Here is a 13,530-nt window from a genome sequence, read left to right on the forward strand (position 1 = left end):
ATAGTGTTTAGCAGCCCTGGCATCTGCTATAATGGAGCCTAAAATATATGCATTCTCTCCATGTCTGTGTTGTCTTGGTTTATCTTTGTAATAAAACAGACCATTAGAAAGTTGTGCTCTAGGACCAAATCGTCTTGGCTCTTCTTAACATTGCCATCAGCGTACACTGAGGGCATTCAAAAGAACACTCTCTGTGAGGCTAAATATTGTATCTACTGTGGGGATATTGTTAGAGCCCTGTTTACATAATCTGGAATTCTCTGTCTTGGAAAAACCCACAAATTTTGCTCAGGAGTCCAGTAGTAGGAGAAGATGTTTTGCAAAAAAGTGCTTTGATTGTTATCTCATGTACAAAAAGAAATCATGTCAGTAATGGGCTCTGGCTACAAGGAACCAAATTGTGGCTCATTTCCAACAACTGAAACAACCCTTATGGAGCTTATTTTGGGGCTGATCCTGATCCTTGGCTTTGACTTATTTTCCTGCCTTTATTTCCCTTTATCCTCATGTCTTCATTTATCCCATTCATCTTATATGTGAGTTTATTCATCTCACATGTAAACTGCTTCCAAATCTTTTCTTAAGGATGTGACATTATCCATATCTATATATGCATACATACAGATATTTACTGTTGAATTATTGATTCCACAGAGTGTAATACTTTGTATGCTTCCTGATGCACTAAGTATTTTGCAGGGCTATGTCTTGTTGGTCCAATTCATTTATAAGTTCCTTGAGGATAACAACTAGGTGTTATATTCATTCAAGTCTTGAGAGTCCCCAGCACTAATATATGTTGTTCGCTTTATTGTTGATTGGAGTATATCCACAATCTGAGAAGATAAATGATTCCTAGGTTAAACATGCCCTTGTACAAATCATCCTTTTTCATACCAGTGTCAAAAAATCAGGGGCTAGGTAGGCTATGAAGTTTGTCAATACACGAATTGCTATGTTCTTTACTTTGCAACTTCATGAAAGAGTCACCCTACTGCACTAGCTGAATCATCATGTTGAGCACAACTCTTAAGGGAAGTATGGGAAAGCTAACCCAGGAGTGGCAGAGACCTCCTTTTCCTCCTCTATCTTAACATGTGTACATGCTTTGACTTTGAAGCAATGGAATGTGATTGATTCCATAAGCCACTTTCAAAAATAGTCCCATTACCTGTTAGTGCTCACCTTAATCAGATCATATAAATTATATGTGGCTATATATGGAAACTTAAGAAACAGAAAAGTCTACCAGGACTGCGGTGACAAAATTCCTGAGTCCCCAGATATGATGAACTTATCATTAGTTTGTAATTAATTGATATTTCAACAAGAAGCTTTTTGAAACGTGGTTAAGAGGAAGAATAAAAGCTGGCCAAACTTTGTCCTTTGGTTTGATAAATTCTGAGAATGTAGCTATAATTCTATGCAAAAGAAGCAGACTAAGTTACATTATATACCCTGGTGATTATATGTTTCTTCACAGTGCTGTTTAACATTTACATACAATACTGTAAACCTCAAAGATGTCACTCACTTATGTAATTACCTCACAGTTATATAAATGAAAAACCTGACATTTAATAAGTGACACTAGCATATCTTTATATAAAGTAGTGTTACATTTAACATCCCTGGGGACTAGGTATATCGTGTATACCATGCGGATGGATGTTCTGGATGAATGAAACTTAACTTTGGAAACATTGCACTTTGAAAGAATTTTTAAAATTTTTGATAAAGACTCTCTAATACAAATCGCACCATTCCATGACTTTTTAAACAGAGGATTTGATAAGCCTGTTCCCAATGACTTGTCATGGTTGTGAATGCTCACTGTTGGACCCTAGGTTACAGAGTGGTTTCTTTAGCGGTTCCTGAAGTCTAGGCCTCTGACTTCCTGTACTGAGTGACTCTGGATTGAGCTGTTCAAGAAGCAGAGGACCAGCCTGTTTTGCTTTCTGTCTACCCCTTCTGCTGACAGCTATCATGTTCATTTCCCAACTGCTGTGCTATTCGTTCACTTTACACCTAAACATGTGAACGTTGGGCAGGACCGAGGAGGCCCTGCTTCCATGGAGATTAAGGATGTCAGCAGAATGACAGCCACTAAACTCCACCCCTACCTCTGCTTTACTTCCAATTTTACTTCCCTTTACTCCCATTCCCAATTTATGAAGTTCCCAAAATCTGGCCCCAAGACAATGAAAGCTTATTTTGTACAATTTAATTTTCAGTCTATATGCACTCAAGTTTTGAACCGCTTACTCTAAGAATTTTGCACAATCCAAATCCATTAATGCAGGTTAACATATTACAAAAGGTTACATGAATATAGGAATGATAGTATGGGATGGAGTTGATCAGGGAAGACTTCCTGAAGGAGGCGCCTTTTAGAATGGTTTCTCAATGCATTGATGGATATTTTAGGTAAGGTATAATGCTATATGCCTTGTTGCTAGGACCATGAACTCTTCAGATATTGGCTCTGCTGCTTATTTGCTGTGTGACATTTGGAAAGTTACTTAACTTTTCTACCTCAGTTTCCTCATTGGTAAAATGAGGATTATAATAAGTTCTGCTTCATTGAGTTGTTGTGAAGATTAAATGAGTTCATGCATGTAAAACTCTTTTTTTTTTTTTTTTTTTGAGTTGGAGTCTCACTCTGTCACCCAGGCTGGAGTGCAATGGAGTGGTCTCGGCTCACTGCAACCTCTGCTTCCCAGGTTCAAGCAATTCTCCTGCCTCAGCCTCCCAAGTAGCTGGGATTACAGGCACATGCCACCACGCTGGGCTAATTTTTTGTATTTTTGGTAGAGAGGGGATTTCACCATGTTGGCCAGGCCGGTCTCAAACTCCTGACCTGATCCACCCGCCTTGGCCTCCCAAAGTGCTGTAATTACGGATGTGAGCCACCGTGCCTGGCCTGCATGTAAAGCTTTTAGGACAGTGCCTGAGAGTACAATGTAAGGGTTTCCCAATAGTGGTAGTAGAAGTAACAAGTCATAAGAAAGATGCCTACAGCAAAGAGGCAATGCTTACCAAAGAACTAGGATGTAATAAGAGCTGAAGTTGACATGGGAAAGGACATTTAAAGAAAAACTTCTCCATCTTTTTCATTATATGGCTCATATTTAAAAAATAATATTTACATGTCACAGCAGTATCAACAAAGCGGGTTGCTCGCAGTCTGAGGCAACTGCCCTCAGTTTCTGGCTGCTGCAGGCCAACCTAGGCTAGAGGAGAAGGAGGCATACGGATAATCTATTCCCAGCATATACTGATTAGGGAGATCTGGTTTAGTGAAGATTTTCGAAGAGAAGTCTAGGGAATTTGGAAGAGGTGATTGTCCAAAGGAACAGTGTGACCAAAACAGATAGTTGTAGTAACTGTATATGATAAAACAGAACAAGAGGGAGAAGTATGGAGATGGTGTAGGTCCAGATTCTGGGGGACTATTGGGCGTGACGTACATGGGAGATGAAATGAATGAAAACTGGGGTTTGGTGGGAATAGAAAAGAGAGAGTCCAGATCTGGCAAAAGGAGGTTAGGGGGAGGTCCTTTGTGCTGCATTGGAGAAACATGGAAAGGGGCCAGCATAGCTCAGTTATCCAAGGAAGTGTTGATAGATAGGACTTTGTATTATGGAACAGCAGCAGCACAATTAGAAAGCACATTGGAATCACCCCCAGTTATCTCTGGGCAGGGAAGAACTTCTGGTTATAAATCTATTGAGTATTGCAACAATTGACTAGGGCGTTTTACTGGCTCTTAGTTCTCTTGTACAGTAGTGTTTTTAGTGCTTGTTTAATCATTGTTAATGTGAAATCATTTTTTCTTGGACTTTGTAGCAGTTTATTATAGAGGTTGCAGATAATCATCAGTGTTCTTTATGAAAACAGTAAAGGATTAATGCAGTTGTGTGTCTGTCCTGCCCAGAGCAGGTTCTCATTAAGATATGGTAAGTTGATTTTGATTTGTTTGGGTTTTAATTTTTCTCTCCCCTCTTCAGAACAAACTTCTATAAATGTCATCATTGTTACAAAAAGAGATGGAAATTCATCTTTAGGGATTTTTTTTTCTTTTTGCCAGAAAGAAAAAAAGAAGGAATAATAGCTGGACTTAATTTGTAATGATTCTGAAGCATCTTCAAAATCATTTTCTTTCCTTTTCTATTTATTTTTTTTGAGACAGAGTCTCACTCCGTCACCCAGGCTGGAGCGCAGTGGCGCGATCTCGGCTCACTGCAACCTCCGCCTTCCGGGTTCAAGCAATTCTCCTGTCTCAGCCTCCCGAGTAGCTGGAATTACAGGCACGTGCCACTATGTCTGGCTAATTTTTGTATTTTTAGTAGAGATGGAATTTCACCATGTTGGCCAGGCTGGTCTCGAATTCCCGACCTCAAGTAGTCTGCCTGCCTCGGCCTCCCAAAATGCTGGCATTACAGGCGTGAACCACCATGCCTGGCCTTTTTTTACTTTTTTGAGACAGGGTTTTGCTCTGTTGCGCAGACTGAGTGCAGTGGCATGGTCATGGCTTACTGCAATCTTTACCTGCTGGGCTCAAGTGATCCTCCAGCCTCAGCCTCCTGAGTAGCTTGAACCATATGCGTGTGCCACCATGCCTGGCTTTTTATTTTATTTTTTTGTAGAGATAGGATCTTACTATGTTGCCCAGGTTGGTCTTGAATTCCTGGATGCAAGTGATCCTCCTATCTCAGCCTCCCAAATTGTTGGGATTACAGGCATGTGGGCCACCTTGCCCAGCCTCATTTTTTTCCCTACATTATACTTTGTTCCAAGAGCATTCTAACAGGAAACACTGAGAGAGAAAAAAAAAGTGATTCTACAAGTTAAAACCTGCTTCAGCACATCCTTCTCTGACCCCCTAGGAAGCCTCCCCAAGAAATGGAATGGTATAAACTACTCCCGTTTTCCTTGTGCATATGGCATTATAATAATGGATTCACACTTCTGTCTCCTCTCATTGGAGTGTGAGTTTCATGAAGGCAGGGATTGTATTTTAATAATCTGTTTTCCCTCAAGTTTCTAACACAAGACCTGACACACCAAAATTAACGATCAGAAATAAGAAATTAGTTCATATCTACTTAAAACTACCAGTCCATATTGTAGAATGTTTTCTTTAAAAATCTCTTTCTTAAAGTTTAATCACTGGCCAGGCTCCGGGGGTCATACCCATAGTCCCAGCACTTTGGAACACCAAGGCAGGAGGATACCTTGAGTCTAGGAGTTCAAAACCAGTCTGGGCAACATAGTGAGAACTCGTCTCTACAAAAAAGAAAAAAAATTAGCCGGCATGGTGGTGAGTTCTGGTGGTCCTAGCTACTCAAGAGGCTGAGATGGGAGAATTGCTTGAGCCCAGGAGGTCAAGGATCTATGACGTCAATTTTAAAAAGCCTCTGCAATAAGGAAAGTAAAATAACAGCTCACTTGCTGGACTATTAAAAGGGAAATGGGAGGGGGCCGCAAAAAGGTTTTGATAGGCTAAATGTGGGCTTGACAAAGATCTACACATTTTTCTTCTAATTGTTGGCCAGATTCACTCTTCTTTTTTTTTTTGAGACAGAGTCTTGCTGTGTGGCCCAGGCTGGAGGGCAGTGGTGCCATCTCGGCTCATTGCAACCTCTGCCTCCTGGGTTCCAGTGATTCTCCTGCCTCAGCCTCCTAAATAGCTGGGATTACAGGCACCCGCCACCATGCCCACCTAATTTTTTGTATTTTTAGTAGAGACGGGGTTTCACTATGTTGGCCAGGCTGGTCTCGAACTCCTGACCTTGTGATCTGCCTGCCTTGGCCTCCCAAAGTGCTGGGATTACAGGCGTGAGCCACCATGCCCGGCCTAGATTCACTCTTCTTATGAAAAAGTACAAGTTTCTAATGATTAACTTTCTGGGTTATGGGAAGTTGTGCTTCATAACAATATGGGACTTGTATTCCTTTACACTCTCATCTATAATATCAATATAAATAGTTTCTCTGATAAGTAACTAGGTTTCTGAGATAAGCCCTTCCTTTTATTGTAGCTGATAACACACGATTATATGAGGTGGTATTGCTAACCACTAGTGAGAGGTTTTGCTATATAATGTGGAACTTAAACTTCTTTGGTCTTCTTCCCAGAACTGCCTAGATGCCACTCTAAATTGTTTATTGACAGCATTAATACCTGGAGAATTTGCTTAAAAGAAGTAGATTATTTTTCTCCCCTTCCTTTTTCTACCCACACCCCCATAACTCTGTTTTTCTTAAAAAACAAAAAATCTTCAAAATTGTCAACATTGCTCAATTGTTGAGAACAAGGGAACAAGCCAGGCATCACATTTACCCTATTTTTTTTATTCATAGAGCTGCGTAAAAACTATGTTATCCAAAGCACCATGAAGCTGCACACTCACCAATTTCAAGATAATATAAAATACCACATAATCAATTATGGAAAATAATGAAATGGAATGTTGGCATAGAAAACCTCCTCGGAGAGTATTAAAACAAGGAATCAATTGCTCGAGTGGCGGGGGCGGCGTTGGGTGTTAAAATTAACAATCAGTCAAGTCTTTACCAAGGGCCAGCTGTGGGTGCAGACCTGCAGGGCACGTGTGAGAAGGGTCAGATGCAAGTTGCTGAGGTAGTCACTGCCCTGTAAAGATTGTCATTAATTCTACAAACAAACAATGAAAGAGTTGTTTGCTTATGTTGTGGGCTAGATGCACAAGATACACAGAAAACTGCAGAAGTGAAAGTAATTCAGTCATTTGTTCCTTCATTTAGCAAGCATTTATTAAGTGGCTTTTTTTTTTTTTGCCAGGCACCAGGGAAGACACTTGGGAGCTGTAGCTTCAGAATCCGTCCCTGCCCTCAGGGAAGGCAGAACAATAAGCAAACAATCATAATACTTTGCGAAAGCAGGGAGATTATAGGAGATGCCGTGTTAGACACAAAGGAAGACAGGATAATGTGAACAGCACAGAATACAAAACAAAAATGAAGTACTAATTACAGAAAACAGACAGGCTCAATTTCACCTATTCCTGCAATTTTTAGAGAAGCAGAGGAACAGAGGATATGCAGATTTTGAAGTGTGTCCTCAGCATCCTAAAAGAAAAGAAATCTAGGAAAAGTCAGACTGTTTTTTGCTTGTTTTGAGACAGAGTCTTGTTCTGTCACCCAGGCTGAAGTGCAGTGACACGATCTCGGCTCACTGCAACCTCTGCCCTCTGGGTTCAAGCAATTCTCCTGTCTCAGCCTCCCGAGTAGCTGGGATTACAGGCGCCTGCCACCAGACCTGGCTAGTTTTTTAAGAGACGGGGTTTCACCATGTTGGCCAGACTGGTCTTGAATTCCTGGCCTCAAGGGATCCGCCAGCCTCGGCCTCCCAAAGTGCTGGGATTACAGGCATAAGACATGGCACCCGGCCTCAGATTGTTGTCTTACAATTTTAGTATGGCTTAATTGTGGCAAGGTCTTGTTACCGTAACTATTTCTGTCAAGTTATATATGAAGGACAGGAACCATCAAATGCAAATGAAGAGGAAGACCCCTTGATGAGATGGCTCTAGAAGACATACGTGTGTGTGTGTGTGTGTGTGTGTGTGTGTGTGTCAGGGTCTTGCTCTGTCACCCAGCCTGGAATGCAGTGGCACAGTCATGTCTTACTTCAGCCTCAACCTCCTGGGTTCAAGCAGTCCTCCCACCTCAGCCTCCGGAGTAGCAGGTGTGTGCCACCACACTTAGCTAATTTTTACATTTTTTTGTAATCTCCCTATGTTGCCCAGTCTGGTCTTGAACTCCTGCACTCAAGTGATCCTCCCACCTCGGCCTCCCAAAGTGTTGGGATTATGGCTGTGAGCCACCACACCTGGCTGACATACTTCTCTTAATTTTCACCCACCTTTTCTCCTTCTGTTCATGGCCAGAAGATAGTCTCAGTTCTTCCATTTTTCCACCTGCAAAATGGGAATAATAAATTTTCTTGTATAAATAGGTTCTTAAGCTGGAATCCTTTTTAGGTGTCCATAAATAGACTTTGGGGATTCTACAGTCCCCCACCCACTTAGAAATTTGATGCAACATTAACATGTATGGTAATTGTTTCTGGGGAGCCAATTTCAAAGTAAAGTATTTTGGGCTTCCCTGAAATAAGTGCTAAATAAACAACTAATACTTCACATCACAGAACAACATAACAAAACCAAATTACCATCATAGACTAATAAATCTGAAATAAGATGCTGATAGTGTATGAGAATATAATAAAACCCAGAGAGAGCAAAGTACACCTGGCTTTGAAATCACTCCTTAGCACCTGAGAGGATCAGTTCCTGGAATCTGCTGTGTATGCAATGACATGCATATTGCTAGGACGTTAGGCCACAGCTCCTTGGGTCAGCTGTGGGCAGGGAACATTTGGGCAGATCTGCATAAGCTGCTGCCCACCACCTGGATTGTAAAACCACATGCCATTCTGGAGACTTTCCTTCAAAGAAAAATGTGAACTCTCACTGTCCACTAAACCACTAAATACTGTTTGGGTGAACATTCTCCCGCACCAGAATCATTTTCAAAAAGGCAGTGACTGCGTTTATCTTGTCCACCCTTATATGCTAGGGCCTGGCACTTATAACCACCAAAGAATTGGCTCTCAACAATAGCTATTTACTTAATGAATGTAACTGTTTTGGTCAGAACATACTGGTTTGAAACATTTCTGATGGAGATGTGCTGGGGGATGCCTTTTCCTGATCACAGAGCTTGATTATAGCTTCAATTTCTGTAAGTAATTTCTTTTTCTCTTCTAAACAGCACTTACATGATCCTCCAGTTGGGAGCCTTCTGTTAGTTGTTATTTCTGCATTTGTGTGTTGCTTTACACTTCACAAAGGGCTTTCCCATCCATTATCTCATTGCATCTTCACAAGACTTGCCCCATATATTTTTAGCCGAGAAAATATAAGGCTGGAGAATTAAGTAGCTTGGCCAAGCTCTCATAGCTAGAAAGTGTGGAACTGTGCCTCAAATCCTTGTTTTTGCTCTGTGTTTGGTGGTTTCTTGAGCTCACTGTGTCCTGAAATTGTGGAAATAAAGTTAGCCAGAAACTCTTATCACTACTAATATATCAGTGACAGCTATTCAGAGTCTTATGGAATGGCCACATAAAAATGAATTTGATAAAGTGAATTAAATGTATTTGTTTTATAAAATTATAGAGCCTCTTGATATAATTTGGAGACAGCCTAGATTGTGAGAGGGAGAATGAGAATTCTTATTTTGAGATGGAATCTTGCTCTGTCACCCAGGCTGGAGTGCAGTGGCATGATCTCTGCTCACTGCAATCTCTGCCTCCCGGATTCAAGTGATTCTCCTGCCTCAGCCTCCCAAGTAGCTGGGATTACAGGTGTGCACAACGATGCCCAGCTAATTTTTGTATTTTTAGTAGAGACAGGGTTTCACCATGTTGGCCAGGATGGTCTCAAACTCCTGACCTCAGGTCATCTGCCCGCCTCAGCCTCCCAAAGTGCTAGGATTACAGGCATGAGCCATTGTGCCTAGCCAATAAGTCTTTAGACATACCCCTGAACCTCTCTGACACCCCTGTTTTCTCATCTGAAAAAATGGATACCAGTTCTGCTAACTTCAAAGGCATGTTTTGCATGTCAAATCTAAAATACACAAAACTCTTAAAAATATTACACAACATATAAATGGCAGTTGCTTTTTCAATAATGTATAGTGTATGTCTAAATATGGCCATTGCATTTGGGTACACCAAGGTTTTTGTCCGGTAAACATCACAAAACAAAAAGTAAACTGATACAAATAGCTATAGAAATGGATAAATATGCTGTCCATATTTAAATACGAGGACTGGACATGAGACAGATGTGCATTTGTCATTGAAGAATGCAGTTCCCTGGCGGGGAAGGTGGAACGTGCATAAGATCCCCATTATAATGTAGCACTTTTCATTGTAATCCTCATAGCAACCTTGTCAGGAAGATACTTACTGTTCTTGGGCCCGTTTTTCAGATCAGAAAACTGAAGTTTAGAGAGTTTGTGGCAAAATTGTCCAAATTATAAAAGAAATTCCAGTTAGCACCGACATCATGCTTGGTGAGTGTTCTCTTCAGTCCAGCACAATCGGACTTTCAGTTAACACTGGTTACAAAACGGGCTGTGTGTCTTTGTCTCCAAAAGTCCTATGGGCTGTAATGCTAATTTTCTTTTATATGAATTCTTTTGGCTTGGCAGTTTGCTAATATCTGTGTACTATTTCAGCTTCACTTTAATGTACTGTATTCACTTTTAGATACATAAGCATAGGCAATCTGGGGTCATTCTAATGGAGCCTACTCAGGACAACCTGAGGCACCTGGACCTAACTCTAATAGCTCTATTAATGTTAGGTAGACCAGTTTAATGGAGTGCATTCTCCTAGCAGTTCATTGATTATAAATACTTAGCTTAAGTACCTACGTGTGTCCTAAAAAAACTATTTGTCCGAATGAAAATCCTGATTTTCAGGAGCAGTGATATGAATTCTGGGCACCTGTGCTTCAGTGACCATGGGTGGAGACTTTCTTGTTTATATGTAGTCCTCTTATGTTGAAAATTACACAAAAACAAAAAAGTAGTGAATAACAGTGTCATTTTTTGTTTTTTTTGTTTGTTTGTTTCTATTTCTTTTGCAGGTTGATGACCAAATGAAGCTGCTTCAGAACTGCTGGAGTGAGCTCTTAATCCTCGACCACATTTACCGACAAGTGGTACATGGAAAGGAAGGATCCATCTTCCTGGTTACTGGGCAACAAGTGAGTGTAGAGACCAAAAAAAAAAAAAAAGCATCTTTTTATTAAGCATGTTCAGAATGGCCGGAATTTAACTAGGTCAGAAGCACTCTTGTGCTTTGAAAGGGAGAGATTGGCTGCCAATAATTTAGAAAAGATGACTTGGTGCACTCTGTTCCTGCTCTGATTATTATAGTTAAACTTGTAAAAGCAAACATAATCATGAACATTCTGCTGCTTCCAGTCTGCTGGGACTGAAAGTCCTGCTTACAAGGGTCCGAAGAACTGGTAAATGAAACGTAATGATTAGTACCCAGGTTTTCTTTTTCCTCGAGCTTCTGCTTTAACCCAAGACACTTGTTTGTCAGCTGTTTTAAAACCTTATAACTTGTGGAGTCCTTACTATTTTGGAAAAATATTGGTGAACGAGATGGATTTGGATGTCATGAATAATTGAAATAGTTGGTATAAAGGCAAATGAGAAGGGAGGGGAATTTCAGTTTTCAAGATCCAGTCATTCAAATGAAAGATAGAGAGAATAAAATTACTGTTAGGTCCTACACCTTTCTGAACAGATGTTTGTTCGATCAACAAAAATTTATTGAGCATCCTACTCTGTGCTAGTTACTTTTTGGGGGCTTTGGTGTATATTAGTGAACAAAATAAAAAGGTTCCTGCCCCTGCGGAACTTAATGTTGTAGCAGGGAGAAGCTGACATTAAACAATAATCCTAAGAAACAAGCCTGTAATATGTTAAAGGTCAAAGTGCTACTGAATAAAAGAAAAAAAAAAAAAGGAAAGAACCAATGAAAAGAAAATCAACACTCATCCACAGACATGTGTTGCAGTGTGACCCATAAGTTGCACTGTGAAATAGGAATGGTTGGTTTGGCTTTATTGGAAATGTAACATTTGAGCAAAGTCTTAAAGGAGGAGAGACAGCTTTGTGAATGTCTTTGGAGAGAGTCTACTTAATAGACCTAACTGCAACTTTACAGGAATTTAGGCAAGTCTCTCCAGTTTCTTAACCCTCCGTTCTACAACTGATGTGCTATTTAAATAAATGTGTGGGACACAGTGATTCCTTCAATCCTTTGGGTCATACCTATTCAGGGTCCCACTGCATTGTTCAGCAATGGTGACTTCAGTACTCGGCACCATGATCTTTTATGTTCAGCCATAAATGTTTATGTGCTGTGAAACCACAGCAATGCTATTTGGAAATGAAGGGCTGTCTCCACATCATTTGCTGTATTATTAATAAATCAAAATTTCCCAATCAAATTAAAAGCAAGCACTATTTCAGAGTTTTTGCAAATTGGGTCAATTCAAGCATCTCCATCACTATCTGGTCCTTGCTATCTGCACCTCTCAGGAGAAAAGCGTTGCAGAGGAGAAAATAAAGTCTCAATGGGTTTGACTTCCTGTGCTTTCAAATTTTTTTTGGCATTTTCATTCTGGGACCCAAGTCTTTGGAGAAAATGTACCCATTTTCAGAGTCTAATCATTGGGTGTGCCTCCCACCTTCACCGAACTAGGAGCTGCATTGGAAGTACAAGACTGGGCCCACTAATTAATTTGATTTCATTTCCTTCTGAGTTTCAGAAATGAAATGGGTTTGTGCCGTTCTTTTTCTCAAAGCACTTCCATTCCTGCTCTTTAGAAATATTTCTTATTTCACATTTCATTTTGCCTTAAGTGCTGCCCGTGGGTGAGGGTAATTACTATTTAAAAAATAGAGAAAAGTGCATTTCTTGCTGTCTGATTTTCAAAACCAAGAACAATCAAGGAATGGATGGTATTATAGTTTTTTGGATCAATTACTGGTGCTTTGTGTTTTGTCATCAGAACTGAATGAGGAACTCCATGGTGGAGAAATAGTTATTTCCTTATATGTTTCCTGCAGCCTGGATTCTTCCAGCTCCCCTCCCCACTCTTTAAATATGTTTCCTGCAGCCTGGATTCTTCCAGCTCCCCTCCCCACCCTTTAAAGTGTGCCACAGGTCTGTCAGAACCCCTCCCTTCACTTTTTTCATCCAGTCCAGTGGCTACCCTAGTAATGATTAATTGTAATCAGACATTCTCATTTATGGCAATTATGGTAGACATGTTTATTTTCTTTTGCGGAATATCTAGACAAAACGTTTTGAATTTATCTCTGTGCTTCTTGCGTTTCATAGGATGGAAGCAAAAGTGCTGCAAAGGAAGACTTCAAAAGCCTGTAACCTCTCTATCAGAATGAGACAGATATCTTAAAGCAGGGTCATATACATGTACTTCTTTTATATCCTCACAGTACCTAGCACAAAGCTGAATATGTTGGGCACATGATACATATTACCTGATTGAACTAAATGAGAACTATTGTATCTCTCCTGGTTGCTTGATTAAAACAAATTAAGTATAATTTTTTTGAGAATTATAAATACTTCCCTGAGTGTAAAAATGGGAAAATTAGATTTTTGCTACAACAACATTACTTTGTGTACACAAATTTTAAGAAGGTAGTTAAAACAATGATGAGTGGAAGGAAAGGAATATATTAAGTATAAGAGTAAAGCAATATGCTAGAGGAAAAGAGGATTTATAAAAAAGAAAAGAGGCCGGGCACAGTGGCTCACGCCTGTAATCCCAGCGCTTTGGGAGGCTGAGGCGGGTGGGTCACTTGAGGTCAGGGGTTCGAGACCAGCCTGGCGAACATGGTGAAGCCCCATCTCCACTAAAAATA

The 13,530-nt window shown here is 40.3% G+C and overlaps 1 protein-coding gene and 1 long non-coding RNA gene across 10 annotated transcripts in view; one reads left to right on the forward strand and one right to left on the reverse strand.

Annotated features, from left to right (window-relative positions):
* The window catches only part of NR5A2 (nuclear receptor subfamily 5 group A member 2), a 149,706-nt gene that overhangs the window by 72,786 nt on the left and 63,390 nt on the right, over nt 1-13,530 (forward strand). For all 9 annotated transcript variants that reach the window (NM_205860.3, NM_003822.5, XM_047416753.1 and 6 more), the window contains one exon: nt 10,707-10,826. In NM_205860.3, the coding sequence (NP_995582.1) occupies nt 10,707-10,826 (120 nt within the window). The remainder of the gene's footprint in view (nt 1-10,706; nt 10,827-13,530) is intronic.
* On the reverse strand, nt 787-9,079 carry LOC107985244 (uncharacterized). The gene is made up of 3 exons (XR_001738358.2): nt 8,828-9,079; nt 7,910-7,964; nt 787-836 (listed from the first exon to the last, which is right to left on the reverse strand). It is a non-coding gene; the product is annotated as an uncharacterized LOC107985244 (long non-coding RNA).

This window comes from Homo sapiens, chromosome 1 (genome assembly GCF_000001405.40).
Source record: "Homo sapiens chromosome 1, GRCh38.p14 Primary Assembly".
Taxonomy (NCBI): domain Eukaryota; kingdom Metazoa; phylum Chordata; class Mammalia; order Primates; family Hominidae; genus Homo; species Homo sapiens.